Source organism: Homo sapiens, chromosome 20, assembly GCF_000001405.40.
Source record: "Homo sapiens chromosome 20, GRCh38.p14 Primary Assembly".
NCBI lineage: Eukaryota > Metazoa > Chordata > Mammalia > Primates > Hominidae > Homo > Homo sapiens.
Window position 1 is genome coordinate 63343184 of NC_000020.11, and position 27996 is coordinate 63371179.

Genomic DNA, 27996 nt, shown 5'->3' on the forward strand with positions numbered 1-27996 from the left:
AGAAGACACTTGAATAGAAAATGCAAAGCACGGCACACGTGGTGACGGTGCGTTTTATTCATTGAAGTCTGTGCACACACTGGGAGCACATTCCAGGGCTTGGCAGACATTGCCTGCAGAAGCCGGGCGGCCGCACCTGGGCTCGGCGGGCCACACGGTCGGCGGGGCTTGGTCCATGGGGCTGGCCGGGCTTGCATCCCCAGGTGCTGTGTGTGCTGCGCCTGATCCAGCATTTCTGGTGCAAGGTGAAAGGACTCAGCCACTTTAGAAATCCGAAGCCGCCTCTGCTCCAGGGGACACCTAACCCAGCAGTCCCACAGCAGCTGCGTGCCCTAGAGTGTCCTGGGCCCGGCCTTAACTTACAAGGGAGCCTGAGTGACAACTCCGGAGGCCAGCCATTGAGAGATTACCACGCTTCCTGAGAGGAGGGCCACGTCGCCCCAGGCCGGGCCACACGGGAAGCACCCAGGCCGGTCCGGAGGCAGAAGGGGCTGGGAAGCCCTGGCCAGGGCCTTCACTGGGGCCTCCCCTGGGAAGGAGGGGGCAGGATGGCGCAAGCAGCCGCAGAGGGGCCGGCGCCCCGGCAGGCTTCGAGCTGCAGCAGTGTCTCCCGCTGCCTGGTGCCTGGCACAGGGCGGGGAAACGTTGGCTTAGTGTGAGACTTTGATAGGGGGTCGGGGGTCACAGCCCTGGCAAGGTGGGTTCTAGGCAAGCTGTCCACCCCCGGGAACTAACTGGCCCTAGGAGGAGCAGTCCTGGGTCTGAAAGATGTTAAAACATTAACAGATGCAGAAAATAAACATGCATAACGGATAGAGTGCCATGCACACACCGGCACCTCCATTCCTAATCACCGACAGCTGCAAGCAAAGTCCACTAACAGGTGATGGACAAACTGCGTCTTAGTTTATTCAGACAGAAGAACACTGCTCACAATTAAAAACGAAGGAACAGACAGCAAGGAGCTACGGACACACACAACAGCACGGATGAAGCTCTAAGTCATAGGATGAAGAAGCCAGACATCAAAGGCTCCAACTGCAGGATTCTGACTCCTCGAAGGTCGTGAGCCGGAGAGGTCAATCCACGGTGCTTAAGTCAGAGCCACAGATGGGGAGGGACGCCGACAGGAAGGGCTGGAGGGACCTTCTAGGGGCTGGGTCTCCACTGAAGAGCATGCATCTCACCATATGTAAATTTTACCTTAATTAATAAAAACAGCACTGGACGCAAATACGCCAACATTGTTGTCAAGGTTAATTTGGCGTGGTGGGAATATGGTGCTTTATTTGGATTTTTTTTTTGAGCCTCAAAAAAAAAAAGAAAGGGAAAGGGGTCTTCCCCCAGGCAAGCGGCCACCCCCGGCAGGAGGGTCCCCCGGCAGGAGCGTCCCAGCCACTCCGCAGTCACTCCTGACCCAGAAAAGAACAACCACAGCTGGGCCCAGCACCCCGGGCCACTCCCTGCAGCTGCCCACACATCTGGCAGCTGGGTCCACTTATGCAATGTGGATCGGGCTTCTTACATCTGAAATCTGCGTCTCTATCCCTCCTCTGAGACCAGTGTCTCCTGCCAGCTTCCATGGCCCCGGGATGACCTCACTCTCCCAGGGTCTCCCTGCGTCCTGGGAGCTCTGGCCGAGGAGCAGCAGGGGCTGATGGCAGAGCGGGGGCAGGTCAGAGCTCAGCAGATGGGGTCCTGAATACACGGGGGATGTGGGAGGGGCCAGGGGGCTGGGGATGCCCAGGATTTGGCACGGGGGTCTCTGTGTCCCACCCACTCCTGGCACAAAAGCCCCAGCCTCAGGACCCCGGTCACAGGCACCCGGGGGTGGGGGTGACCAGCAGCAGTTCAGAGGCAGGTGTGGGCAATGTGGGCCTGAGTCTCCTCCCCACTCACGTCACTGCCCGCGGGGACACAGCGGCATTTCTGGGGCACTCGGCATGCCGGGTTCCTAACCTCAATTATTCATTCTGCTCTCAGGCACCTCCTGACGAGACCCTGGCCCAGGAGAGCTCGGCTCGGGGACAGAGGAATGAGACTCAGTGGGACGCAGAGCCCAACCCCATCCCCACCCCTGGCTGGATGGGGTCTGGGGGCAGCAGAATGTGGACCACTCAGCAGGAGGCTTCCTGACTGTCTCCTCCTGAACCGATGTCACTCACAGGCAGGGGACACGCCATCCTGGCCCCGCCCCTCTGGGCCCTTGGAATCATGGAGGGGTGGGGCAGCCTGTGCCCATCCCAAGGGGAAGTGTGCCCCTGGGGACACTGGGGGGCTGCCGGGTGCGCCATCTTTAGGGGGTGCACTGCCGGGCTCCAGGGTCATGCCTGGAAACATTTCAGGCCTCCCTCACCTCTGGATACCGCCTGCAGGGGTGAGGCTGTGCTGAGCTCTGCCTGCCCTGCCAGGACGGAGGGCATGGGCCTGTGTGGAAACCCCAGGGCTCCCTGACTCCCATGAGGCTTCTCAGGGACTTCCTGCCCCGAGGGTCCCAGCATCTCCCAGGTGGAGGTCCTCAAGGATGCCCCCACCAGCTCCCCACAGCTACTGTAGCAGGAAGTCCTTCTTCCCGAACCCAGAGCCCAGGGCGGATCTCCCGGGCTGCGCGCCAAGGTGGAAACCCTCAGGGTCCTGGGGGAACCAGGGCCCAGGTCTGGACTCCATTCGGGACCTTCCCAGCTCCGGGGAATCACAACACAGAAGTACCCCAGGGGCTGAAGCCACTAGGCCCCCGTGGAGCCCTGGCCACCTGCCAGAGCCCTGGCCCTACGCCTGGAAGGCAGAGTCCTGGTCTCCAGACTCGCTGGGGCTGGGTGTTCCTGTCCCCCGCGGAGGGCCTGCGCAGGGGAGAGCTGGTCCCGCGTGGGCCTCCCGATTCTCCCCACGCGGAACCAGCTCCACAAAACTCTGTTCTCCAAGGCTCCTTAGGCACAAGACTTGAGTTCTCACTAACTTACCCAAAACACAACCAAACACAATCCCTGCCTGGACCCTCTCCTAGCGAAGCAGATTGGAGCGCTGCTGGCTCACCCTCATGGGGCCCGAGAGGCTCAAGGACCCTGGGGGAGAAGTTGAAGCCCACACAGGCGCAGGACACGGTGGGTGGGAGAGGCGGCCGGGCCTCCAGAAGACGGGGCGCTTGGGGCTGAAGGGGCGTGAACTCCCTTCAAGGGCCCCTTGGGGCGGTCGGGACCATCACCAGATCTGCTGAGAGACTGGGAGGAGTGAGTTCCATCTGCAGGGGAGCTCAGGAGACTCTTGAACTGGACTTAGCCCGAGTCCTGCAGGTAGAAGGCGCCGACCCCCACCTCTGCTCCAAGCCACTGCCTCCTGAGGCCACAGTCCAACTGGAAGCAGCTCCACACTCGGTCTCCCCAGAGGCCGTGTCCCCGTCCAAGGCCGTCTTACAGCAGACACAGAACAGGAAGGAAAATTTGGCAAACGTGTGGCCCCACAGAGTCCAGGGAGAAGCCAGCCCGGCCCCAGGCCGGCCGCATGGATGCTGGCCCCGTGCACGGCAGCCCCAGGCCACGCAGGCTCCCGGTCCCTTCCTAGATCATGCCAGCCAGCCAGGGCGGCAGGAAGAGGCCCACCGTCCCCAGCAGGCAGACGATGATGAACATCCAGAGGAAGATGCGGTCGATGACCATGGCCACGTACTTCCAGTCCTCCTTCACCTGCAAGCACAGACGCCGTCACTCCAGCACGGCCCGGCCGCCGCCAGCGGGGACAGCCCTCAGGACCCCGGCGCCGCCGGCAACAGCTTCTCCACCTCCCACCTTCCACCCGAGGCAGCCATTGCTGCTGGTGCACGCGGCACACAGCTGCACCGAGGGGAGGAATTGGGGTGCACGGGACAGCCAGTGCTCTGCGGGGGGCATCATCACCATGGTATGGGGCAGGAGGACCTTGCAACCCTGGGAATTCTGGCTGGGCAGACCCCCTTGTGGAGACAAGCTCTGCACTATGCCCTGTGTGCCCCCACTTCTCAGCAGGCGGCCTGTGCTCCGGGAAGGGGGCACGGGGGAGGGGGGCTCAGGCACCCCGTGAGCGGTCTGCTCTCAGCTCACCAGCGCTGGGAGGGCCCATCCCCCTCCCCGTTTTGCAGATGGGCAAATGTGGCCCGGTGGGCGCACAGAGGGCGGACGAAAGCAGCACACATGGAGCCCGCAGAGCTGCCGCCATCTGCAGTCTCTCACTCGAGCCTCCCCTGGCCTGTCTCGTTTTCACACTGAGGCCTTCAGGGGCGGCTGCGGTTACATATCTGAACGGGGACAGCGGGTTCCGGCTCCAGGTCCGGCTTCTAACCCCACACTCCTGGGGCTGATGCAGGGCGGACCTCCCCCGGGTGACCCCCAGGAGCAGAGGCCTAGGGAGGGCAGAGGCAGTGGCCTGGTCAGGCCTGGAGTCGGGAAGCCACTCTCGAGACAGCCGCTGTGTGCAGCCCAAGGCACTCATGCCGCTGGCCACTGCCCTCGCCCCGGCTCCCCCGTCCCGCGTCTCTGGCTCTGCCGTGTAGGACCTGAGACAACCCCCAAGCTGATGAGCTGCCTCTGGGCCCGGCCGTGAGGGTGTCCTGGGTCCCAGGCCTGTGGATGCTGAGGGATGGGAGGGATGTGCCGCGGGGGCCTGGGCACACTGTGGGGACAGTGCCGCCTCCTGCTCTGATTGTTTATAGCAATCCCGGGTCTCCTGATGGTGTTAAACTGAACCAAAACGGCCGCATTTATCTACGGGAAGCCTGAAGGCAAACGGGGTCACTTATAAATAAAGTCCTGCCCAGGCCTCGGCTCTGGGGGCGGGGACGCGGCCGCCCTCTCGCCCTTTCCTATGTGCCTTTAGTTCCCTGGGTTCTGTGTGCCGCGTTCCATCCACCCTGAAGATGAAACGCAGCCGCAGACCAAAGCCTTCCCTTTGTCCCCGAGGTGGCTGCTGTGAAGTCAGCTCTGCTCCCCACAAGCCCAGAACCAGGTCAGGCAGCGGCAGCAATCGGCCCGAGAAGGCTGCTGGAGGGGCCCAGGGCGCGCGACCGCCGAGCTCAGACCCACTGCCAGCTTCAGGACCGCTTTGATCAAACACCTAAATGCATCTGACCCCACGGTGGCACAGCCCGGGCACAGCTGCCTCTCGCTTCAAGAGCTGGCAGCAAAGCAGGATCCCGATGCTTCTCCAGGCTGCTCTCGTGACCCCAGAATGTTCTGGAACCTGCAGGAGGTTTTGCAGCTTCTTGGGATTCAGTGGGGTGGCTGTGTGGGGCGAGCAACTCCCTCACTTTTCATGGGTATGGAGCACGGGCCCCTCGCTTTGGGGCTCGCTCAGCTAGTGGGGGCAGGCACCAGATGCGTCCGAATAAACCATCGAGGATGGCGCTCTGGGGTCCTGGCAGAGGTGGCCCCTTCAGACGGAGGTGGCCCACTGAGGGCACCAGGCCCTGGCACCGGGACAAGAGCCAGGAGGTGCCGGCGACAGCAGGTGGATGGACAGGACAGATGCCGAATTGCCGCTGTGGACGTCATGGGCTGCACAGCCGAGGCCGAGACCCCCGGCCACCTGTGTGCCCCACCCGTCCCGCCCCATTATCCTGTCCGTGGACCCTGGCCCCTGTGCCTCCCCCCATGTGACAGGCAGTAAATGTCTGCAGAAGGAAACAGGGAAGCTACCTGGTGCTGGGGTCAGGCAAAGCTGGCTCAGCCCCAGCCTCTCCTGCATGGAATGGGTAGGAGACTGCACAGCCACGGGTAACACGGACATGGCTGCCACTTAGCAGAAACTGTGGCTCCTGGGGCCTCTGTGCGGCCAGTGCCTGGCGCTGGAGGGTGAGGGTAGGTGGGCTGGCCCCGGGCCCCGGGGGGCCTTAGCCGTGGGACCAGCGTTCTGCCCCCAGCCCCTGGCTCTCCCACCTGTCCCCAGCTTGGCCGTGTGGGGCTGATGGTCTTGGAGCTGTGTCCCTGTCCCAGCTCCGTCCTCCTGCCACCAGCCCATCCCATCCCATCTTCTCTGAGCCCCCTACATCCAGGCCCCAGATACGGAGGGGCCCCGGGGAGGCCCGCGGGGCAGGCACAGGCGCACTCTGGAGAAAGGGCCTTGGCAGTGCCTCGTTGCGTTCTGGGGACTTGGCCATTGCTGGGCAGGAGTTCCCAGAGCGCCCCCGTTCTGTGCTGGAAGGACGCTGCCTGTGGCCCCTCACCGTGCCGTCCGCCGAGGCCCACTGTGTCCCAAAGCCAGAGACGGCACCGGGATCCACCCTGTGCCAGCCACTCGGGGCCCCCTGCCCCGCTCAGCCTGGGACCTGCGGCCACATAGCAGGCTTGGGAAGAGGCTGCTGCAGCAGGGGCCACGCCCTGCACCCCAAAGCGAAGCAGCCTGAGGCCTGGGCCCGGCTCCTGGATTACACACCAGGAAGAAAGGGCGTCCGCCGGTTCCGTCTGGGTCAGAGGCGCCCAACACAGCCATGGGCGGGACTTACCGAGAAGTCTGTGTCTTCGGCCTTCAGGTGGTCTGCAATGTACTGGACGCCCTCCACCGCCCGGGTCAGGGCCGGCGACAGGGGCAGGTGCGGGGGCGGCGCTTTGGTGCTGCGGGTCTTGACCGTGGCGCTCGGGGACACCGAAGAGGGCTCCTTCTTGCATGTGCATTTGCACGGAGAGGGCTGGTCTGGGGGTGGGAGCTCAGCCGAGTGGGTGTTGCGAGAGGCCAGGGCGCCGGCAGCCTGGCCATCTGCCTCGGGGGCGGCATCGTCTCGGGGAACACAGTACTGGATGCTCCGAGACCGGCACCGGACGCCGCCTTCCACCGCTTCGCCAGGGCTGGACATGTGCTGGACGCTGAGGGACCTGGCTTTGGCCAGCCCTGGTGCCTGGGTGCCGTGGGGCGGGCGGCAGGGTCCAGGCGAGGGGTGGGGGCTGGCTTTCTCAGCTTCCAGGGGCTGCTGAGGAGGGAGCTGGTCGGAGGGTGACTTGCAGGAAGGCCCAGGCTCAGCCGGCACATCCAGGGGGACACAGAAGGACGGTGAGGGCGGGTGCAGGCTCTGGGTGCCGCTCGTGGCAGGGGGCTCCCCTTCTGGCTCGGGCCAGAAGCGCGGGGCACTGGCCATCTTATGCATGGACTCGATGAGCCGCCGGCAATTGTCCTTGACCACGGACGGCCGCTTCATGAGGAGCAGGCGTGGCACGATGTCCAGGAAGACCCTGCGTACCCAGGTGGGCATGGTGTGCGTGCGTGGCGAGCGGTGGTGCACGTTGAGCACGAAGACCGTGATGACGATGGACAGGGTGACGAAGATCATGGTGAACAGCAGGTACTCGCCGATGAGTGGGATGACCAGTGAGGTGGACGGGATGATCTCGGTGATGAGCAGCAGGAAGACGGTGAGCGACAGCAGCACGGAGATGCACAGCGTGATCTTCTCGCCACACTCGGAGGGCAGGTAGAAGACCAGCACGGTGAGGCAGGAGATGAGCAGGCAGGGGATGATGAGGTTGATGGTGTAGAAGAGCGGCAGCCGCCGGATGACGAAGGCATAGGTGATGTCCGGGTAGATCTCGGCACAGCACTCGTACTTCCTGGTGTTGTAGGTGCCCACGGCATCCACGATGACCCACTCGCCACTCTCCCAGAAGTCCAGCTGGTCCACGCGGCTGTGCATGTTCACCAGGTCGATCTTGGCCTTGTCGTAGGTCCAGGAGCCGAATTTCATGGTGCAGTTCTGCTGGTCGAAGGGGAAGAAGGTGACGTCGATGCTGCAGGAGCTCTTGTAAATGGCCGGGGGAGTCCACTGCACCCGCCCGTCATGGAACAGGTGGGCCTTGGTCAGGTGGGTGACCGCGAAGTCCCCGTCAGCACTGGGCAGGAAGAGAGCGAAGGGTGTGAGACCCCCACATCCATGCCCACGTCCACACCCACGCCCACTGCCACACCCATGCCCACGTCCACACCCACACCCACATCCACGCCCACATCCACGTCCACGCCCACATCCACGTCCACGCCCACATCCATGTCCCACGCCCACATCCACACCCACGTCCACGTCCACGCCCACATCCACACCCACGTCCACGTCCACGTCCACGTCCACACACAGAGGCATTCTCACGTCACAGGAGCACAAAAGGGCTGGCGGCCTTGCCCGGGTACACTGTTCGTCTTCTCACCTACTCGTGCACCTCAGTTTATCATCCCTGAGCTGGGCGTAGCACGTGGTTCAGAGAACGGGAAGGGACCTACGAGTGCCTGACACACATAATCACTGCTGCTGGTGATTACCCTTATCCATGAGTGGCGCATGGATGGGGCTAGTCTCCCAGCGTCACCTCCTGGGACACACGGCATCCCTATGTCCCCGCCCCTCCAAGCAGCACCCCGGGCCACCATGGGAATTCCTCACCCAGCTTCTGCCGTTAACCCCAAGGACTTGGAGGCCACCTCCCAGTGTGTGAGCATGAGGACACCAGGGGCCACAGAGGCAAGGACAGGTGTTCTGGCCACCCAGGGCCAATGCAGTGGGGCTGCATACGCACTGCCCAGTTCCAGGGCCACGTCTGAGCCACTGGCTCTGGACTCTCTTTTGCCTTGGGGGACGTGGGTGTTCTGTCCACAGGCCCAGGTGGGCAACAGAGCAATGGAGCGAGGGGCTGATGTCCCTTGAACTCCTCCCGGTAGGCAGAGCTCCCAGCCCCAGCCCCTGGTTCCATAGACAGCGGCTGGCTGGGTGGGACGCACTGCAGGAGCACATTCAGGGCTGAGGCAGCCAGGCTCACGGGGGCAGCAGCCGACCCTCCACCCCCACCCACAGAAGTCCCCACCAATGGGAAGCCTGAGGCCCCATTAAATCCCCAGCGTTGGCAGGCATGGGGCCAGGCTCAGCTCTGTGGAGGGCGCTGGGGCACGACGCGTCGGGGGGAGCGGCTGCCCAGCCACACACCTCCTGCTCCACCTCTGCCAAGCTGCCTGGACCCCTGCCCATCCCTCCTCTGCCTCATTCCCTGAGAGCCTGCTCAAAGGCCAGGGCCTCTCCAGGTACTTGGGCAGAGCTGGCGACTGTTCCCTGAGCTTCCTCTGTGCCTGCCCCCGAGTCCCAGGGCTGGACCTGCACCTCAACCTCCCTCCCAACCCTCAGGGACCCTCCCTTTGTGGAGCCGCCACTGCTGGAGCTCTGCCCTCCAGGTCGTGGAGACCTGGCCCCCCACGGTCTCAGTCGGTGCTGAGCCTCTGCCCCCCTGAACTGGTCCTGAGCCAACACCGCCGGCTGGGCTGCCGCTCAGCTGCAGAGGGAGGGAGACCCAGCAAGAGCCACCAGCTGCATCTCAATGCGGCTCCGGCCCAGCACAGCCTGGCTCCCGAGCGTCCCTCCAGCGGGGGGCGGGGCTTTACCACCAAGTCAGTCTGGGTGGAATCAGGCTCAAGTTTGCTCCCTCTCCCCAGCCCATCTCTCCAAAAACCAACGCCCTCCACCTTCTGAGGCACAAATTAAAAGATTCTCATATGGCAAGCGGGTGACTACTCTGTTCAGCACACACTCTACAGGGAACGCCAGGGCCATGCTCAGGGAACAGTGCAGGTCTGCGCCACTCTGGGCAGGGCCCCCCTCCCCCAGGGTCCTCTGCCCGCGCCACAGGAAACGGGACAAGGTCAGGGCCAGGTCCCCCAGCCCCCAGGTCCCACAGCACCCCTGGGCTGCATCACTGCTGCTCCCTGCCCCGCCCACCCCTGGCTCCAGCCGCCCTCTGGGGAGCCTTTGAGGAGAACCCCGTTTGGGCTGAACCACCCGGCCGTGAGCCGGCTCTGGACTCGCACCATAAAGCTGCACCCTGGGAGCAGACAGGGTCTGAGGAGCCGCCCAGTCCAGCAGGTCCAGGTTCCTGCTCCAGGGCCCACAGGCTGGCGTGAGACCCTCTGTCCCCTCCACCCCGACCCCAGTCCAGGTCAGGGATTTCTGGGCACCTGCCCCAAGTGGACAGCAGGGCCCCCAACTGGGGGTGGCCAAATCCCAGAGAAGGGCCGAGGCCTCCCACCCTGCAGCCTGGCCGGCCACCAGCCACAGCCACCTGCTGCCCCAGAAACAGGCCTCCTCAGCGGGAGCAGACCCAGCACCAGCGGCCACTCCAGGAACCCTGGGTCCTGTCCGGAGAGAGCCTCGGTGACAATCCCAGCCCCAAAGAGAAAACTGGGGTCACCCCACTACATCCCACAGGCCATGGTGAGGAGGAGACACAGGAGAACATGGGGTGGCAGCAATCCCTGCTCTCCTGAGCTGTGGTCCTAGGGGGCTGTGGTCCTAGGGGGGCTGTGGTCCTGGGGGGGCTGTGGTCCTAGGGGGGGCTGCGGTCCTGGGGGGCTGTGGTCCTAGAGGGGGCCATGGTCCTGGAGGGGCTGTGGTCCTGGGGGGGCTGCGGTCCTGGGGGGACTGCAGTCCTAGGGGGCTGTGGTCCTAGAGGGGGCTGTGGTCCTGGAGGGGCTGTAGTCCTAGGGGGCTGTGGTCCTGGGAGGGCTGCAGTCCTAGGAGGCTGTGGTCCTGGGGGGGCTGCGGTCCTGGGGGGGCTGTGGTCCTAGGAGGCTGTGGTCCTGGGGGGCTGTAGTCCTAGGGGGCTGCGGTCCTAGGGGGCTATGGTCCTAGAGGGGGCTGTGGTCCTGGAGGGGCTGTGGTTCTAGGGGGCTGTGACCCTCGGGGGGGCTGTGGTTCTGGGGGGACTGTGGTCCTAGCGGGCTGTGGTCCTGGGGGGCTGTGGTCCTGGGGGGCTGTGGTCCTAGGGGGCTGTGACCCTCGGGGGGGCTGCGGTCCTGGGAGGTCTGTGGTCCTGGGGGGCTGTGGTCCTGGCGGGGGGGCTGCGGTCCTAGGGGTGTTGTAGTCCTAGGGGGCTGTGGTCAGGCAAGAACTGTGATCCTTGTGGGGGCTGCAGTTCTGCAGGAGGCACTGTAGCCCTAGGGTGGGATGAAGTCCTGGGAGGACTGTGGTCCTGGCAGGGAATGTGGTCCTGGGGGCCTGTGGTCCTGGGGGGCTGTGGTCCTGGGGGGGCTGTGGTCCTGGGGGGCTGTGGTCCTAGGGGGCTGTGGTCCTAAATGGGGCTGTGGTCCTGGGGGGCTGTAGTCCTGGGGGGCTGTGGTCCTAGGGGGCTGTGGTCCTGGGGGGGAGCTGCTGTCCTAGGGGTGTTGTAGTCCTAGGGGGCTGTGGTCAGGCAAGAACTGTGATCCTTGTGGGGGCTGCAGTTCTGCAGGAGGCACTGTAGCCCTAGGGTGGGATGAAGTCCTGGGAGGACTGTGGTCCTGGCAGGGAATGTGGTCCTGGGGGCCTGTGGTCCTAGGGGGCTGTGGTCCTAGAGGAACTGTGGTCCTGGGGGAGCTGTGAACCTGGTGGGGGCTGCAGTCTTTGGAGGGCCGTGGTCCTGGTGAGGCTGTGGAAGTGGGGGGGGCTGCAGTACTCGGGGGGCTGTGGTCCTGGGGGTTTGAGGTCACAGTGGGGGCTGTGGTCCTCAGAGGCTTCGTTCCTGGGGGCTGCATTCCTGGAGGGCTGTGCACAGGCACCCAGAGCGGCTTCTCTGCCCGGCCCATCCTGGGCGTTTCCACTTCTCCCTGAAATGTGTCCATGCGAGTCACACAGGCGGATTCGGTGCATGGTCCTGGTGGCGGGGAGCTAGGTGGCTGGGTGGCTTGCAGGGGGCAGGGAGTCTGTCCTAAGGGAAGACCACCCGCTGCCCACTCACCACTGACCACCTCCCCAATGCACTCTGGAAAAGCGTCCGGCCCTCCCACTGCCGGAGGCCCTTCCCGCTGCCATTACTGGAATCAATTGAGTTGGAAGAGGAGCCCAATCGTTCTTAATCATACAGCAGGGTTTGTAGGTCAGGCGGGTGCCCTGGGGCCTGGAAAGGGCTGTGGGCAGATGGCTGGGACGGGAGAGGAGGAAGAGCTTCCATTTGCTTTGTTTGTGGGAGCTGTGACCCTGCCACACCCAGACCCTGAGCCTGTGGCCAGAGATCATCCCTGGAGGACTCAGCTCAGAGAGCGCTGGCTGCCGGGCGCAGGGCCCTCGGCACAGATCTGCAGGAAGGACAAGTTAGAGGACAGCAGCCTCCGGAGGCCACCATCTGCCACGGCCAATCCGTGGCAACGCTGCCCTGGCTTCCAGGCACAGAAAACCCGTTTCCATGACCAGACTTCATCTTGGCCTCCTAGGAGCCTGACATGGGCTTGGCCCAGCCCGAGGCTTTGTTTGTTTGCTGGGGACCTGGCGTGACATGTCCTGGGCAGAGCGTGAGTATGCAGAGAAAGCAGAGGCCCTAGTGGCATGAGAACCATCTGGGGCTTCCTCACCCCTCTCCAGGGCACCCTGCAGTCCACACTATTCTCCCAGAAAGGCCAGGATGGGGTCTGATGGCGAAAAGCACTCCTGCCCAAAAGGGCTCTCCTGCAGCTGTCAAGGGTGGGGGCAAAGACGTCGCGGGTCAGGAGCCAGCCCCCAGGCCTCAGGACTGGTCCAGGCAGGGACACTGTGTCCAGGTGCCATAGCCACTCTCAGGCCCCTCCGGCTCTGACGCTCCAGTGCTGAGACCCAGGGATGCCCTCAGCCTCTTTGCTGGCCTGGGGGGACCCTTCCCTCCTCAACCCACACCAATTTCTCCATTGCTCCTGCTTCTTCCTTCCTGGGCCTGGGCTGGCATGCATGGGGCTGGCATAGGCCCCGCTGGGCCAGGCTGGGCCTTGGTGGAGCTCCCTGTCTGGGCAGGGGCAGGCCCTGGCCACTCCTGCCCACCAAGGCCCTGTAGAGGACTCACTTGTTGTAGAGGACTCACTTGTTGTAGAGGACGATGTCCGGCCGCCAGATGAGCTCGGAGGGGATGCGGATGGAGGTGACATTCTCATAGTCAGCTGGGTCCCAGCGCAGCTTGTAGTCGTGCCACTCCTGGATGAGGTGGGGCGGGGGGAGGCTGCAGGGTGAGGGGTGTGGGGGAGGGCAGGGGCGGGACAGGGCCAGGGTGGGGCAGGGGCAGGGCCAGGGCAGGGCAGCAGGGTGAGGGGTGTGAGGGAGGGCAGGGGCGGGACAGGGCCAGGGTGGGGCAGCAGGGTGAGGGGTGTGAGGGAGGGCAGGGGTGGGGCAGGGCCAGGGTGGGGCAGGGCCAGGACAGGGCAGCAGGGTGAGGGGTGTGGGGGAGGGCAGGGGTGGGGCAGGGCAGTGCCCTCCCACTCACCTGCTTCACCCATACGTTCGTGGTCATCATCTGGTTCTTCTCATCCTAGGGCACCGAGAGAGGAAGGGGGCCAGTGACCCCTTGGTGTCTTTCTCTGGCCCTAGGTTTCCTCATCTACAGCCACTGGCACAAGGACACGGCCAGGGCAAGATATGGTGGACGGGCGACCTGTGGAGGGGGTGAGTGCCCCGTCCCTGGAGGCAGCCGAGCCCAGGATGGGGACTCTGAGGGGACCTAGGGATGTGGGGACAAGGCCACAAACATCTCCAGCAGGAAACTGGAGAGGAGTCGGCGGCCTCACAGGCTTCCCCAGCTAAGGACAGGTGTGGCGGGCATGGGGAGCCTCCTTCTGCCCACCTGCCTTGCTCCCTCCCGGCCCTTGGGGGCAGCCCCTCTGCAGACAAGGCCCCCATGTGGGCACACACAGCCAGCAAAGCTGCCCCTGGCACATAAGTGGGTTCCACTGCTGGCCAGGGTGGCCCCTCCAGGACTGTGCCTCATGACCTGAGCAGGTGGGACCTGTCACTCAAGGTCACTGTGTGCAGCTGGGCCACTCACCCCAGCCCCTTCCGACCCACCCCACCCACCTCCTTCCACATCCCCACAGGACCACGTCCCCACCGACCACATCTCCATGGACCACATCCCCACAGAACCACGTCCCCACAGGACCACAACCCACAGGACCACATCTCCACGGACCACGTCCCCACAGAACCACATCCCCACAGGACCACATTCCCACAGGACCACGTCTCCACGGACCGTGTCCCCACAGGACCACGTCTCCACAGGACCACATTCCCACAGGACCACAACCCACAGGACCACATCTCCACTGACCATGTCCCCACAGGACCACGTCCCACAGACCACGTCCCCACAGACCATGTCTCCGTGCAGGGCCATATCTCCCCACAGGACCTCATCCCCTCAGGACCTCATCCCGTGTGTCTGAGGAAGCTCCAGGGTCCTCAGAACCAGCTTCACGTGGCCAGGCCTGGCCCTCCTGCCCAGTGTCGTGCCCTACCCCCTTGCAGCCGTCATTCTCAGTCGCCCTTGAAGCTGGAGGGCAGGTCAACACTGCACATTTCACCACCACTCAGCACTGGCCTGGGCTGGTTGGAAAAGCACTGGGTCTTCCAGACCCTCCTCTGCAGCCAGTCCTGGGGCCTGAGCTCACACGTGCAGCTCACAAGCCCTCCCCTCCAGGACAGACCCTGGTGATGGCACCTATAACAAGTATCCGAGCCCGCAAAGGGGGCACAGGTGAATCCCCAGCCCCTGGTGGGACGGGCAGAGTGGGCCAGACACAAGGCAGCCCCTTCCACATACACGTGGTCCTCAGCCTTAGGCCAGCACCCAGGAGCATCAGGCAGCCCCTTCCGTGCACACGTGGCCCTCGGCCTTGGGCACCCAGGAGCGTCAGCACCCACGTGTGCATGTTCGTGTAAGTCCTTAGTCGGCTGCAGGGTGGAGAGAGGGGTGGGCAGCTCTGGGAGTCTTGGTTCTGGGTGTGCTCCAGGCCTCAATGTCTCCTGGGCAAACTGGGGACTCTGTGGTGGCGTAGGGAGCCATGGATTGAGCCCTGAGAAGCTCAGGTAGGCAGCCAGGTGGGGGGTGGCAGACCCAGAGCCTTGGGCAGCTGCCAGCGGCCGCCTCTGCCAGCTATCACTTTGCAGCCGTGTTTGCAAACCTCAGCAGGCTTGCCAAGCCTGTGCAACCCGCATTGTCTTCTGGCTGGGCCTCCGCCAGGGACACTCCACAGGAGCCACTCAAGGGCAGCTCCAGGACACTGAGGCTGGAGGTCTGGGTGGCCAACCCTGGACGGGGCTGGCTGACTGGAGTCTCCATGCGCTGCCCTGCATGGGCAACTGCCACCACTGAGCAGCCTGTCCGCGGGAATGTGGCTGCAGCTCCCCACACCTCCCAAAAGCCCCTGGGGTGTGGCCCACTCAGCCTGGGATAGTGAAGCAGCTCTCACCCCGTTTCACAGGCCCCAGGCCCAGGGTTACCCAACACGCACGGCACCAGCCTCCCAAAGAGAGGAAATTCTCCCGCAACCCGGTGGCTCCTCCCTCAGCGGCAGACCCAGGCTTGGCATCCTGGCAAGGTGTGGGCTGGGCCTCTACAGCATACAAATGCCTCCCCATGTGGGGGTGCCCTCCCTGGACCAGCGAGCTGGGATTTGGCAGCAGGGCTGGAGCTGGCGGACTTCAGTGTGGAAGACGAGCCCCTGCAGCTCAGCTGGCCATTGGCTGCCCACTCGCAAGTGGGCCAGCTCCCAGAGACCATGGCCTGCCCAACCTGCCCTCCTCCATGGTGGCAGCCCCCAGGCTATGCACCCCCACCCAGCCAGGTACCCTGAGGGATGGTCTCACCCCATTTGGAGTGGCTGAGCCTGGCTGGGAAACGTGGAAATGTCTCTGCTGCCCCTTACCCGGCCCCTCCAGGGCCGCCGAGACCCCCAGACAGTCTGGCTCAGGCCTGGGTAGGTAACCAAGCATCTCAACCGAGCACAAGGCCGAGCCTCCCGCAGCTCAGTTCTCTCAGCCTCGAAGCCTCCTGGTTCCTATCCTGCCTTGGGGCTCCATGTGCACTGGCCCACGCTGCAGGGGCCTGGCTGGACCAGTAGGCTTCCTCCCAGCAGCCTTCTTGGGCCCCCCACCAGAAAGAACATATCTTCAGACAAACAGACTTCGCCCAAGACTCCCCCAAACCCCACATTCCAGATCTGTGGGTGAGGGGCCTCTGGGGCCAGCTAAGGTTGGGGTGCTGCCGGGACACCACAGTGCCTGCTCCTGCCCCGGCCCCTGCCCCGGCCGGTTGTCCCTGTTGCTCCGAGGTCACAGCGTGCCCCGCCACCCCCAAGCAAGGCCTTTGCTGTTCTTTGCTTCCGAAGGTGCCTGGGCTCTGTACTGAGAACCTGGCCACTTGGAGTGTTCCCACGTCAAGGGGGAGGAAAGGGCAGGGCCTGGCTGGGACGCTCTGAATCAACCCTTGGCTGGGGCTCAGGCGGGGCAGAGCTGGTGGCTGTCGTTCTGACGTACCAGCCCGGGCCGGACACTCACAGCCACGGGGAGTGTTGATGGCTGTGTCCCCTCTGCCCACCCAGACCCCTGTGCTCCTTGCAGGGCGACCTCAGTCACAGTGCACGATGGCCACGCCCTCACCTACCACGTCAATGAGCTGAGCGATGGACAGGCCGAAGCGGACGAGGACCACGTCCGAGATGTTGGCCACGGGTCGGGACCACTTGTTGTAACCGGAGAAGAGTTTCTTCAGGAGCCGCTCCTCGGCGTGGGCCCGGGTCTCCACATGGCTGCTGGCTGCGGGGAGAGGCAGGCCAGTGGCTCAGGTGCAGGCGGGACAGGAGCCGGGAGCTGTCCAGGAGCTCTCCAGGCTGCCCCAGCCCCCTGCCCAGCACGTCCACTTCCTTTCAGCTCCTCACATGAGCCCTTCCCACCCCAGGACCTGTGTGTGTGCCGGGCGTGCGCTCTGTGTGTGTGTGTGTGCCGGGCGTGTGCTGTGTGTGTGTGTGTGTGTGTGTGTGTGTGTGCCGGGCGTGGCGTGCGCTGACCTCTCTTGGCCTCCGGCTCTCTCCCACCCCTGGGTGTAATTGTGATTTCCTCGGGGAAGCTTCCCAGGCCCCTCAGCCCACGGAGGCCTTCCCAGCACCTTGACCGCACCACAAAACCAGGCGGCGGATGGGCCGAGGACTGCTTTGGGTCTCCTGTCACACTGACTTCCAGGGAAGGGCTGTGTCTCTAGCAGCTGGCGAGTCAGAGGACACTCGGGGGTAACAGCAGCAAAGGAGGGAGTACAGGGCAGCGGGGCCAGCCCAGGCAGGAAGAGGGAGGAAGGGGAAGGAGGATCGGGCCCCCACAAGCGCCCGCTTCCTACGGAACCTCCCCTGGTTCATCAATCCCCTGATGCCCGAGGAGTGTTTCAGATGCAGACCCCAACGAGGTGCCAGCCCCCTCCGCACCCCAGCCTGCCCGTGCTGTTGGGCAGACCCAGAACGCCCCTGATGAGTCGCTCTGGAGGAGCACAGCCCTAGGTCCATCTGTGCTCCAGGTCCGGGGCCCCAGGATCTGAGGCATTCCCCGCCTGTCCTGGGCGCTGCCATAAGGGGCGGGTCTGGGCGGAGGGGGAGACCTCCACCTCCCTGGTGGGTCCCGCTGGCCTGAGAGCGCAGACAGGACTCGGGGAGGGGGAGGGGTCAGTTCTACACCCCTGGGAGCCTTGACTCCCAGCCCAGAGTCCCCACCCGCGACCTTGTCCTTCCTGCAGAAAAGGTGGGTGGCGGCCGCCAAGGGCAGAGGCCACCCCTCTGATCCCCTAAACCGGAGGAAGCAGGCATGGGGGTCTTCAGGGAAATTTAGCTGGATGGATGGGGGAAGGGCGAAGGTGGCCCCACCTCTGCTCAAGTTCGAGCTTTTGGGGCCAGCCCTGAAATAGCAGCGGAACCCCCCACACCCCGCGGAAAGCCCCTTTCCCAGCCCTCCGCATTCGCCGGCGGTCAACTCCCTCCTCGCCTGGCTCAGCCCGGGTGCGAGCGCAGCCTGTGCGGCTGGGGATGGGGAGCCTCGCGGTCGCCCAGTCGCGCGCACCCGCGGCTTGGGACCGCAGTCAGGAGCCTGCCTCCCTCTGGCTCTGGGGGTCCCAGGCCATCCGAACGCGGGCGAAAGGGGGCCCATCCCGCGCCCCGTAACTTACCGCGCAGGAGGCCGGTCCCCAGAAGCAGCAGCAGCGGCGGCAGCAGCCGCGGCGCTCCGGGGCCCCCTAGCTCCATGGCGCACGCACCTCGCGGGCTCTAGATGCGGGCGGCTCCCGGCTCCCCGCCGCTTCGAGGCCCGTGCGCGCCCAACTTCATGCCTCCCGCGCCTCGCGGGCCGCTTCGGCCGCCGGGCCCGGTTCGTCTTCTCCTGTGGGGCGCGGTGCGGCGGCGGCGCGGCAGGGAGCGCCGGGCTGTGGGCTCCGTGGCGCGGCCCCGCCCGGCCCTGCCCGCCTCAGCCGGCTGGGAGGGGGAGCAGGGGAGGGGGGAGGAGGGGGAGCAGGGGAGGGGGAGGGAACGGAGAGTGAAAAGGGAGGAGGGAGCAAGGGCCAGGGAGAATGAGCAGGGATGGACCGCGCGCCCAGGGGGACGGGGAGGCTGCGCTGGGCCCCGGGCGGGGGTAAAGTTTCCTTGTTCTCCTGGGGTTCGAGACGTGCCTGAGCCGGGGACGGGGACCCCGGGGTCACTGAGTGCGACTGGGGGGTCCCGGAGTCAGTCTGACCTCCCTCCCCACATCTCCAGCCTGGGCGCCCGCTCCCTGCCTGCAGGGGTGGGGGGCACATCTAGGGGATCCGGCGCAAGGAGGGGCACCCCTAGCACATCTGGGTTACTCCATCGCGCCAGCCGGTGTCTGCAGCCTGAAAATCGCGTCTCTGGTCTTGTTCCCCAGCGAGCCGTTCAGGACTCTCTGTCCGCCTGCAGCCCCCGCCTTCCCTGGTACCTCCGCAGAGACCCAAGAGGCGTCCAGAGGGGAGCCCAGGCGCACGGTCCCCAGGGAGGGGCCCCGCCCTCAGGTGGGTGCCGAGGTGGCCGCCCACAGAGCAGCAGGTGCGTTGGAGGAGGGGCGCCTTGTGCGGCTGAATCTCGTGTGCAGGAGGAGAGGGCGAGGCTCTGCAGAAACATCAGACCCGGCCATCCCTGTAGCCGCGCCCCTGGCCCAGCCTCAGGCTCTGCAGCTGGGACACAGCCCCCGAAAACGGAGATTTCCGTCGTCGGTAATGGAAGGCAGAGCAGAAGGGGCTGGAGAGGTCCGGTGACCCTCCGCATTCACGCCCCTCCCTCCAAGGCTGCAAGGCTGCTGGTCGGGCGAGGGGGCTCCGTCAGGAGTTCCCTGCAGCAACCCCCTCTCCAGCACAGGCCTCTGGAGCCCTACAGCTCCTGCCCCTCCCATCGCTCTCCCATCTCCCCTGTCCCTACCCCCTACCTTCCTTCTCCTCCTCCCCCCAGCTTCCCTGAGCAGCCACTGCTCCTGCCCACCCCTCTCCCCCCTCCCTGCCCACCTCTGGTTCCAGGTTGAGCTCATGGCTCCTCATACACCTGCTTTGGGACGGGCAGGAGCTCTTCCTCACTGGCCAGAGCTGTCTGTCCGCTCTGTGGGCAGTGCCTACAATTAGAGCTTTCAGAACACACAGCCGCTGCACAGTGGCTGGTCCAACGACGACACTGCCCTCCTGAATTGCCTGGTCCAGCGACAACACCTGCCCTGCTTCTGTGGCCTTCCCACATGCTGGTCCAAGCAAGCTGGATGCAGGGACCCCCTGCACTTCCACGGCCCCCTTGAGGTGGCCTCTTCAATTGTCCCTACGTTACCAAAGAGATAACACAGGTGCGGAGAGGCCGAGCGACTTGCCGAAGCTCACAGTCAGTACTGGGATTCCAACCCAGGCCATCTGGCTTTAGGGTCTGCACCCCGGCCTCCTGCTGGCCTCAGATGTAGTTTTGGGCTGACGTGCCCTCACTGGGACAGCCTCCTGGGAGATCCCAGGTCTACTTTCCTGAACTCTTTCCTGGAGCCATGGGTGTCTGCCACCCACCCTGCTGACGGCTCTCCCTCAGACCACCCTGCAGATCCAACCCTCGATGGTTTCAAGGGCCTGTTTCCCTAGGCAGACTGAAGTCCCCCAAGGAAGGATTCCCTCTCCTCCTCCTCCTCTCCTTGCTCTTCCCAAGCCCCTGGGCAGTGCAAGACCCTGGTCCTTCTGGCCTACATGAAGCCCCTCCATGGGCCAGTTCTGTGCCAGGAACTAGAAGGTTCCAAGCTGGATGGATATTTGGGCTGAGCAAGCAGCTGGTAAACACAGGGAGGGGAGAAGAGCAAAGTCCCCCGAGGCCCCGTGAGGGCAGCCTGCTGACCTCTGACCTCTGACCCACTCACAGAACCCCACCCCCGCTCCCTGCGGCACAGCCCATGAGGCTCTCTGCTTAGGAAGGGGACAGAGAGGTGGCAAGGCCAGCGGTTCCCGCATGGTATAGACTGGCCTCTGCCCTTTGGTTCAGGCCCCACCTTGGTGAGAAGCCCCTGCCTGTGGTGTCGCAGAGCAAATGCCATTGGCAGAGCCAAATCCACATTCTTTTGTGAGTGGAGAGGCCAGCCGTGCTGCGGTCCCTGCTGGAGCCCCTGTGACACGGGGTTATCGTTTCTCTGACTTGGCAGCTGGCCGAAACGGGGCTCTTCTGCTGATAAAGTGATGTCCACTCGTGGGTTCCACACCCTCGTGGGTGCCTCACCCTCCCGTGGCAAACCAAAGACCTCTTTGGGAAGAGGACACCCCTGCTCCTGCACTTGGGCTCATGGTTTCCCCCTGGACTTGTTAAAATCGAGGCCTCCTGTGGAGATTATCTGGGGTCACAGCAGAGCGGGGGGCGTGTGGTGAGCTGGGTGAATCCCTGAAGGGCCACGGGTGTCCACTCAGCCGTGCGTGGGGGCGTTTGTTTAACTCCAGATTCTGGAGCTCCACCCTCAGAGACTGTTCAGTCTGGGGTGAGGCCTCCAAATCTGTGGCTTCCACCAGCCATTGCTGGCAGCTCTGATGCAGGCGGCCCCAGAGTGCCCGGAGAAATGTCAGCTTAGAGCCACTTGGCCCAGGGCTGATGTGGAGGGTCAGGGTTCCCCACCGCAGCCAGGGCTCAGCCCGAACCTGGTGTCCTGGCCTGGGGCAGGGGCTGGAATTTGTCCCCCGTTGGTGCAGGGGAAGAGGCCGTGGGCCTCGGCAGGAGCCTAGCAGAGGCTCTGAGACTAAGCCAGCTTTGCCTTTTCTGTCTCCTCCTCACTTTTCTAACAAAACAGGCCCAGGCTTCCACAGGGTCAAGCGGTCTCAAGCCGGCGGCTCTCCCTGGTGGATTCCTGCAGGTGAGTTCACTCTGAGAGCTCAGCCAGGGCCAGCAGGCCTGTCTCTCCCGGAGCCAGGGGCCAGGCCGGGTCAGCTGGACGCCCGGGGCTCTGGTGACACAGCCCTGCGGCCGAGTGCACACGCTCACACACATCTGTCCAACCTCACTGGCTTTCCCTTTGGATTTGCTAATGCAGCAAGATTAATCAGGTCTAACTCATTAATTTGCACAGCCCCTCCCTCCCACCTGCGCCCGCTGGAGAGCGCTGGTTGTGGGAACCCAGTAATCACCGAGGCTGAATTAGATTCCTACTCCACATCCTGGCCCTTGCCTCTGCTGCTCCTGAAATTGCTGCTTCAAAGGAAACAAAAACTCTGGATTCAAAGTCCAGTGAGACCAGATTTGGGGGCACAGCTTTTCTGTGGCCTGAGCCGCCCTAGGGGGCTTGCGGGTAGGTTGGGGGACACTACCAGGCCCTTGCAGACACCAGCCCCCGCCCCCCACCCTGGGGGACACAACCAGGCCCTTGCAGACACCAGCCCCTGCCCCCCACCCTCCCCATGTCACCACCAACTCCAGGCTGCCACTGGCTACGGTGCAAAGCAGCTCCCCTGGGAGCACGGCTCTGGGGGTGATTTTTCTCTCTCCCTCACTGCTGTCTACCTGCCCATGGTAACCGAGGGTTTGTAGTAAAGGTGAGCATTGCGGGGCACCAGCTGAGCCTGAGCCGCACCCAAGGAGATGGCTGTGGGAGGCAGGAGGCATCCAGCCCCAGGTCCCAGTGCTGGGACGCGCTGTGGGCTCAGCCCATGGACAGGGGGCCCTGCCTGTGCTCCCATCCCCCCCAAGGGCCTCCCCCTCCTGCAGCTGGGCCTCGCCCATCCCTACCGTGCTCTGTGGAAACTCTGTCCCACCCAGCACCCCTGAGAGAAAGGGGAAGCCCGGGGAAGGGCAGCACTCCCCCACCTGCTCTGCCCGACTGTCTTCCTGGCACTCTTCACACCAAACGTCATGCGTCTGCTCTCTGCTGGCCTCCCCTGTCCCCCACCTGCCAACAGTGCCAGTCCTTGAGGGCAGGTCTGGGCTTGGCAGGCGAAGCCTGGCTCTTGGGCCACAGTGACCACGTGGACAGATGGACGGATGCCTGTCCAAGGGCTAAGGGAGGGTTGGCCCAGAGCAGGCCTGTCACCAGCGGCCACCTCACCCCTCCCTGGAGTGAGGACCCATGTCTGCAAGGAGTCACGGGGCCCAGGAGAGGACTGAGGAGGGTTCAGGACAGGTGGGAGCAGAAACGCTGGGGCCCCGGAGACTCAATGCTGTCAGTTCTCACCACATTGACTTCCCTGTCATCCACCAGGACGGGCGGAGAGTAACTCTGTCCTGTAGCCTCCGTGAGTCTGGGAAGGCCTCCTCGCCCTCCCGTGGACCCGGGGGTCATGCTCACCGCCTGGTGGCCCCCAAGCACCCCTCCCTGCCAGCCCTGCCATGGGGCCCCCCCTGGAGACAGAGTGCACCCGGCCCTGCGGGAGTCCCGGCTGCTGTTCCTTCTGGGGCTATCAGGAGAGTCGGGCCTGGGCTCAGCCCCTCTGTGGGGCCAAGTCACTCGCACCCCTTCTGTGGGGCCTGAGCCCCATGCTTTGCTGCTCACCTGAGTCTGGCCTGCGTCCCTCCGACCCCGTTCCTCTGAGGCGGGAAAACGAAGAGGCCACACAAGTGAGCAGTGTCACCTGCCCCTTCACAGACATGAGCACCCCATGGATGAGAGTGGCCTCCTGGAGCCTCACCAGAGCCCAGGTGCTCCCCACTGCATCCCCAGGCCTGGCTCCCTGCCCCCGGCTGTGCTCTCAACTCCCTGCCCTCGGCTGCGCTCCCAGCTCCCTGCCCTCTCCTGGTGCTCCCTGCCCTCTCCTAGTGCTCCCTGCCCTCTCCTGGTGCTCCCTGCCCTCTCCTAGTGCTCCCTGCCCTCTCCTAGTGCTCCCTGCCCTCTCCTGGTGCTCCCTGCCCTCTCCTGGTGCTCCCTGCCCTCTCCTGGTGCTCTGCCTTGCAGGGAACAGAGAGTGCTTTCCCTCGGGCTGAGAGAAGAGATCTTTGAGCCCCTGTCTTTGTCCGTTTTGTTCAGCACAGGTTTTGAAGACCGTTAAGTGTAAGAGAAACATGGGAATCGGGCCCGGATTGCCAAAGGGGCAACATGTTCTCCTCACACCCCCTCTTTCCCCACCTGCAGCTGCTTCCATCCCGGGCCCTGCTGAAGCTGCCTTTGCTGAAAAGATGTAGGGCACAGCCGCTGGGGTGATAGTGGGAGACGGAAAGGTTGGCTGAGAGGCCTGATTCCTTCCACGCATCACAACCTGAAAATCGCCAAAGGTCTTCCTTGTTGGGGAGGAGTGAATGGCAGCACCGGAAGCCAAGGCCCCTCACCACCAAGAAGCCAGCAGCTCATCCCCACCTTCTGGACCAAAGACACGAAGCAGAGACCAAGCCGAGCCAAGGTCAGGACCTGGGGCCACAGTCAAGGTCGGGGCCTGGGGTCGCGGTCAAGGTCGGGGCCTGGGGTCCCGGTCAAGGTCGGGGCCTGGGGTCACGGTCAAGGTCAGAGCCTGGGGCCACAGTGGATTTCCTCCTGTGGGGATGTCCTTGACGTCCACAGCTCAGGCCTGAGGGTCTGCCACCGGCTCCAGCAGCTGCCACAGGTGTCCTGGCTCACAGGGTGTCTCTGGCTCAGGGCCGGGGCTGTCTGCAACTCCCCTCTCCCCTGAGCCCTCTGAGTGGGGCTCCTCAAGCTCTCAGGGGCTCCGCCACACCTGGGCTTCCTGGGGGCTGGGTCCTGCCCTGTGACGCCTGCCAGGCTCTTTGTAGACAGTTACTGATCTCCCATTGGCTCCGGTTTTGTGGCTCTAAGTGCTTCTGGCCCTCCCTCCACACTCCCTGCCTCTCTGCTGAGTAGTTAATTCACTATAAGCACGCTCCAGAGGAAGTCTCCAGCCTCTTAGTGAAACTGCAGCGATGAATGAGAATGATCGGGCACCCAGGTCTGCCTCCAAGTCTCGCGGATGGCCCAGAGACCGTGCAGTGGGAAGGTTGGCAGCAAGCTGAAGGTTTGAACTCTGGCTGTGCCCCTGCTGCCAGGGGACCTCAGGCAAATCATCTTTTTCTCTGGGCCTTGGTTTCCTCAGCTGTGGGGACAGTGCTGGCCCCGAGTCACTGGGCCGTTGTGAGGATGGAGAGGGGGTCGTGCAGGCTCCTGGGTCCTCGCTGAAGCCACCCAGGAGTTCTCCTGCACTCTCAGGGGAGCCCTTGTGCTGACATCTGAGGGTCACGGTTCAGTGGCTTCAGGGTCCAGACAGGCCCGGAGGCCAGGCCAGATGTGGTGCAGCCAGGGGAGGGGGCAAGCCCCGGGGGCCGTGGGCCATCGGTTCACACCACATCAGGGGCCGGGAATCCCACTCAGGGTTTAGCCCTAGGCTCCCCCCAGCACCCCCCTCCCAATCCAGAGGACACTCCCAGCCCTGAGCAGCGAGCTCTGGGCAGGCATCGGGAGAGGGAGCGCATCTCGGCTCTTTGTGAGGAATTACGTCCCGACAGGTCACTGACACAGAAAAGCCCTTTGTCCCAGCCAGCTGGCCGCCTGCTAATGACATCCAGCCTGCACCTTCCAAGGCCACCTCTGCATCCAGAAAGGACAGTGGCGGCTCCAGCCGGGGAGGAACAAGGGCCACAGCTTCCCTGGGGTCAGGGGTGGGGAGGGTGGGTGAAGGCTCCGGACGCTTCTGCACGTTGCCCCAGAGCTGCGGACGGACCTCAGGTGACCGTCAAGACCTGCTGCGGATCCAGTGACCCCTCCAAGGAGAGTGCCGAGTCCTGGGAATTCTCTTCCTCCTCCTGCACCTCCAGGTCACCTTGCCCTCTCCCGTGTTCCCCAGCCAGACCCCCAGTAGAGAGGAGACCCCTGCAGTTGTGGATGTGGCTTTCCCCAGTGTCCACGAGACCCCTGGAGCCTGGCCCCTCTGGGCCCGTAGAAGCTCCCATGAGATTCTGATGCACAGCGAGGGCCTGAGCCCTGGGCCAGCTCTTGGGGGCAGCCCTGGGCTCCCATGTAGGTTTCATCACACCACACTGTGGCCCTCACACCCTGCCCTCTGGCTGCCCCTCCTCCCTAGGGCATGTACCCCGAGCCCACCTCAGCCTCCCCGGGCATATCAGGGCCCCACTTTCTGGGGTATGTGTGAGCCACGGGACCTCGAGTCAGGAGATCCAGGCCTAGGCCTGATTCTGCCCCCTCCAGGTTCAGGACCCTGGGCAAGTCCTCCCACCCATCTTAGCCCAGCCTCCCCACCCATAAAATTTGGGTTGCTTGTCCCGGCTCTGAGGCTTTGAGAGCAGGGCTGTCTCTAACCGAGGGAGGGTGCTGCAAACTCCAGAAGGCCCCCGTCCCAGGGAACAGCGGGGGGAACTGTCAGAGAAGCGACCCCTGGACCAGCACCCTGAGTGGGCTTTCTTCTCCTCCCCACCCTGCTGAGACCACCCAAACCTTGTTAAGATCAAAGATTCCCTGGGGAGCCACACGGGCCATGCTGGACACTCCCTGCCAGACTTTCCGGAACAATTCCTGGGGACCCGTGTCCCACAAACACCAGCTGGAAAAGGCAGCAACGTGGGGTCTCCCTCCCCCTCAGCCAAAGTGAACTGTGTCAGCAGGTGTCTCCCAGCTGCTGAGAATGAGCCAAGGGACCAAGATGGCCGCCTGGCTCCTGCAAGTGGAGAGGGTCTTGCTGGGGCCTGAACTGGCTGAGGTCTTGCAGCAGGTGAGGAAGCCCTGGACAGTCCTGGCCTCTCCACCAAAGCAGAATGGCTGCAGGCCTGGAGGCACAAAGCAGGGATCATTTTCCTGTGTGTACACGGGATGTGTGTACATGGGATGTGTGTGTGTGGGATGCGTGTACGTGGGATATGTGTCTGTGGGATGTGTGTACGTGGGATGTGTGTGTGCAGGATGTGTGTGTGTGTGAGATGTATGTGTGCAGGGTGTGGGTGCACCAGGCTTGTAGATGCATGCACAGGGTACGTGTGCACAGACGTGTGTGTGTGCATGGACTGTTTCATGAGATGTATATGTATACAGGGTGTGTGTGTGCAGGTGGTACATGCTTCATGAGATGTGCCGTGTGTATGTGCGCACAGGATGTGTGTGCAGTGTGTATGTGTGCATGGGGCGTGTGTACACAGGGCTTGTATATGCACAAACAGGGTGTGTGCACGTGTGCATGGGGCATGTGTGTGCACAGGAGCATGTTTTCACAAGCATGAGTGTGACAGTCACCTGCTGACAGGCGGCCTCACCCTCTGCTCACCCTGCCCACCCGGACCCAGGGCCTCTCTCATTTACCCCAACATCCCCTGCCCAGCTCTTCTGCCTGGGAGGGTCCTGTGCAGAGGGGGGTGGCCCACACGTCCGCAGCCTCAGCCTCTCCATGTTGTTATCCCTGGATCTGGGGGTGGGACCCCCACAGCACTGCCTTTTTCAGCCTGTGGTTATGGGGACTCAGGTCCCCAGGCCCAGGGGCTAATTTCAGAGGGAGAGGTTTCCTTTGCCAGGCAATTGGATTTTCACATCAGCACATTCCTCTGAAAGTGGGGGCAGAGGGTGGGCTTCATCCCCACAGCCGCTAGGGGTCCTTGGGCATCCTCAGGCTCTGCCTCCCAGCACCGGGTACCCCAGGCTTCTGAGGCCGGGTGGGGAACTTGCAGCCTGCAACTCGGGCACCTCTTGTAATGTCGGGAAACCGGGGCACCGCTCAGTCACACGTGGCCGAGTGCAGGACACCTGAACGCCTGCTGCCAGGCCTGCCCTCCCGGGGCAGTGTCAATGCCGAGTCTGGGACCCTGCCCGCCTGCTGAGCGGTGCACCCAGTTCTCCAGGAGCTCAGTTCTTCCTCCACGCAGTGCCTCCTCCCACCTGTCCCTCCTCAGCCCTGCCCTCCCCAGCACTCAAGTCAAGACCAAGACCACACCTCAGCCAACCCCTCCTCATTCCCAGCCCCACCCACCCTCCTGGACTCGTGTGGGGCCAGCACCGCCACAAGTGTGCCCCACGCCAGAGTCCCCTCATGCCCTGGCCCCAGCTGGGGGCCCACAGCGAGCCTCCCGGCAGCCTGGTCTCCTTCCTTACAGGAAGGGGACGCTGGACACTTAGCCCCCTACAGGGAGCCCAGAGCCAGGCCTGGGTGAAGGTGCCTTTGGGAGGAGGTGGAGGAGTGTAACGATTGGGACCCAGCTGGACAGGTCCCTGTGAGCCGGCCTGGGTCCTTGGTGGGTGGGTGAGTGCCAGCTTGCCCTCACGGGACTTTGCCCCCTGAGCAGGAGGGACAGCTCAGGCCCCACCTGCCTTGGGCTTCTGAGCATAGCTTTGGGGGGCAGGGGTCGTTTGCAGCACGAAGCCCTTGTCAGCTTCCAGCGTGTTCTAACATTTGTCATACCAGATGGATTGTCACGAGCATATGGGGTGACATTATTATTCTGTTACTCCCATGATGACAGAGCCAAGGGCTGGGGAGACGGACCCATTTCAGCCTGACCCAGCCCAGGGCCCTTCTCTACCCTCACAGCTTCTTGATGCCCCATTCCCCAAACCCGGGCCCCCAATGCCCCCGCCCCACCCCCGGGAGAAGAGCCCAGCCGCGCCGGAGGGTGGAGAGTTCTGTCAACCAGTGCCGTTTCCTTATCAACAAGGACATGTCTACAAATAGCTCATCACGTCTCCAATCCAGAAGTGCTGTGTCGTTTCAAAAATGAGCGGAGCCAACGCAGCCACCAGCCAGGCCTCGGCTACCTGGGCAAGGCTGCCGGCTCATGAATATTCACGGCTCCGATGGTGTCTCTGAGCCTCCTAACCATCTGGAATTAAACCAACGAGCTTCCCCTCAT

At 63.8% G+C, this 27996-nt stretch overlaps 1 protein-coding gene and 1 long non-coding RNA gene across 4 annotated transcripts, besides 3 other annotated features; one reads left to right on the plus strand and one right to left on the minus strand.

The window, feature by feature from the left end:
* Nucleotides 40-18166, minus strand: CHRNA4 (cholinergic receptor nicotinic alpha 4 subunit). Of its 3 annotated transcripts, none has more exons than NR_046317.2 (6): nt 17907-18166; nt 16365-16516; nt 13188-13232; nt 12792-12926; nt 6470-7844; nt 40-3680 (listed from the first exon to the last, which is right to left on the minus strand). NR_046317.2 is itself a non-coding variant. In NM_001256573.2 (6 exons), exons 5-6 carry the CDS (start codon nt 7697-7699, stop codon nt 3555-3557), a joined length of 1356 nt encoding a protein of 451 aa, NP_001243502.1. In that variant the 5' UTR covers nt 7700-7844; nt 12774-12901; nt 13188-13232; nt 16365-16516; nt 17994-18166; the 3' UTR covers nt 40-3554. The 3 variants fall into 3 exon arrangements, 2 of the variants coding, with proteins under 2 accessions (NP_001243502.1, NP_000735.1); NM_001256573.2 differs by having other exon boundaries at nt 12774-12901; nt 17994-18166; NM_000744.7 differs by having other exon boundaries at nt 12792-12901.
* Nucleotides 4727-4896: an enhancer, noted in NCBI's record as "experimental_60863 CRE fragment used in MPRA reporter constructs". NCBI's record gives its function as "activates a minimal promoter by MPRAs in K562 erythroleukemia cells, with activity observed for both the introgressed and non-introgressed 20:61979347 variant alleles {active_cell/tissue: K562}" and the evidence as "EXISTENCE:reporter gene assay evidence [ECO:0000049][PMID:34662402]".
* Nucleotides 12297-13496: an enhancer, noted in NCBI's record as "P300/CBP strongly-dependent group 1 enhancer chr20:61986832-61988031 (GRCh37/hg19 assembly coordinates)". NCBI's record gives its function as "activates an origin of replication core promoter dependent on BRD2, BRD4, P300/CBP, MED14 and CDK7 cofactors, with strong dependence on P300/CBP, by STARR-seq in HCT116 cells {active_cell/tissue: HCT116}" and the evidence as "EXISTENCE:reporter gene assay evidence [ECO:0000049][PMID:35650434]".
* Nucleotides 16805-27994, plus strand: LOC100130587 (uncharacterized). The gene is made up of 5 exons (NR_110634.1): nt 16805-16986; nt 18635-18758; nt 21032-21094; nt 23300-25877; nt 27678-27994. It is a non-coding gene; the product is annotated as an uncharacterized LOC100130587 (long non-coding RNA).
* Nucleotides 18274-18907: an enhancer, noted in NCBI's record as "H3K4me1 hESC enhancer chr20:61992809-61993442 (GRCh37/hg19 assembly coordinates)". NCBI's record gives its function as "activates a minimal SCP1, AML or CMV promoter by ChIP-STARR-seq in primed H9 embryonic stem cells {active_cell/tissue: H9 hESC(primed)}" and the evidence as "EXISTENCE:reporter gene assay evidence [ECO:0000049][PMID:30033119]".
* Nucleotides 27995-27996: the final 2 nt, after the last annotated feature.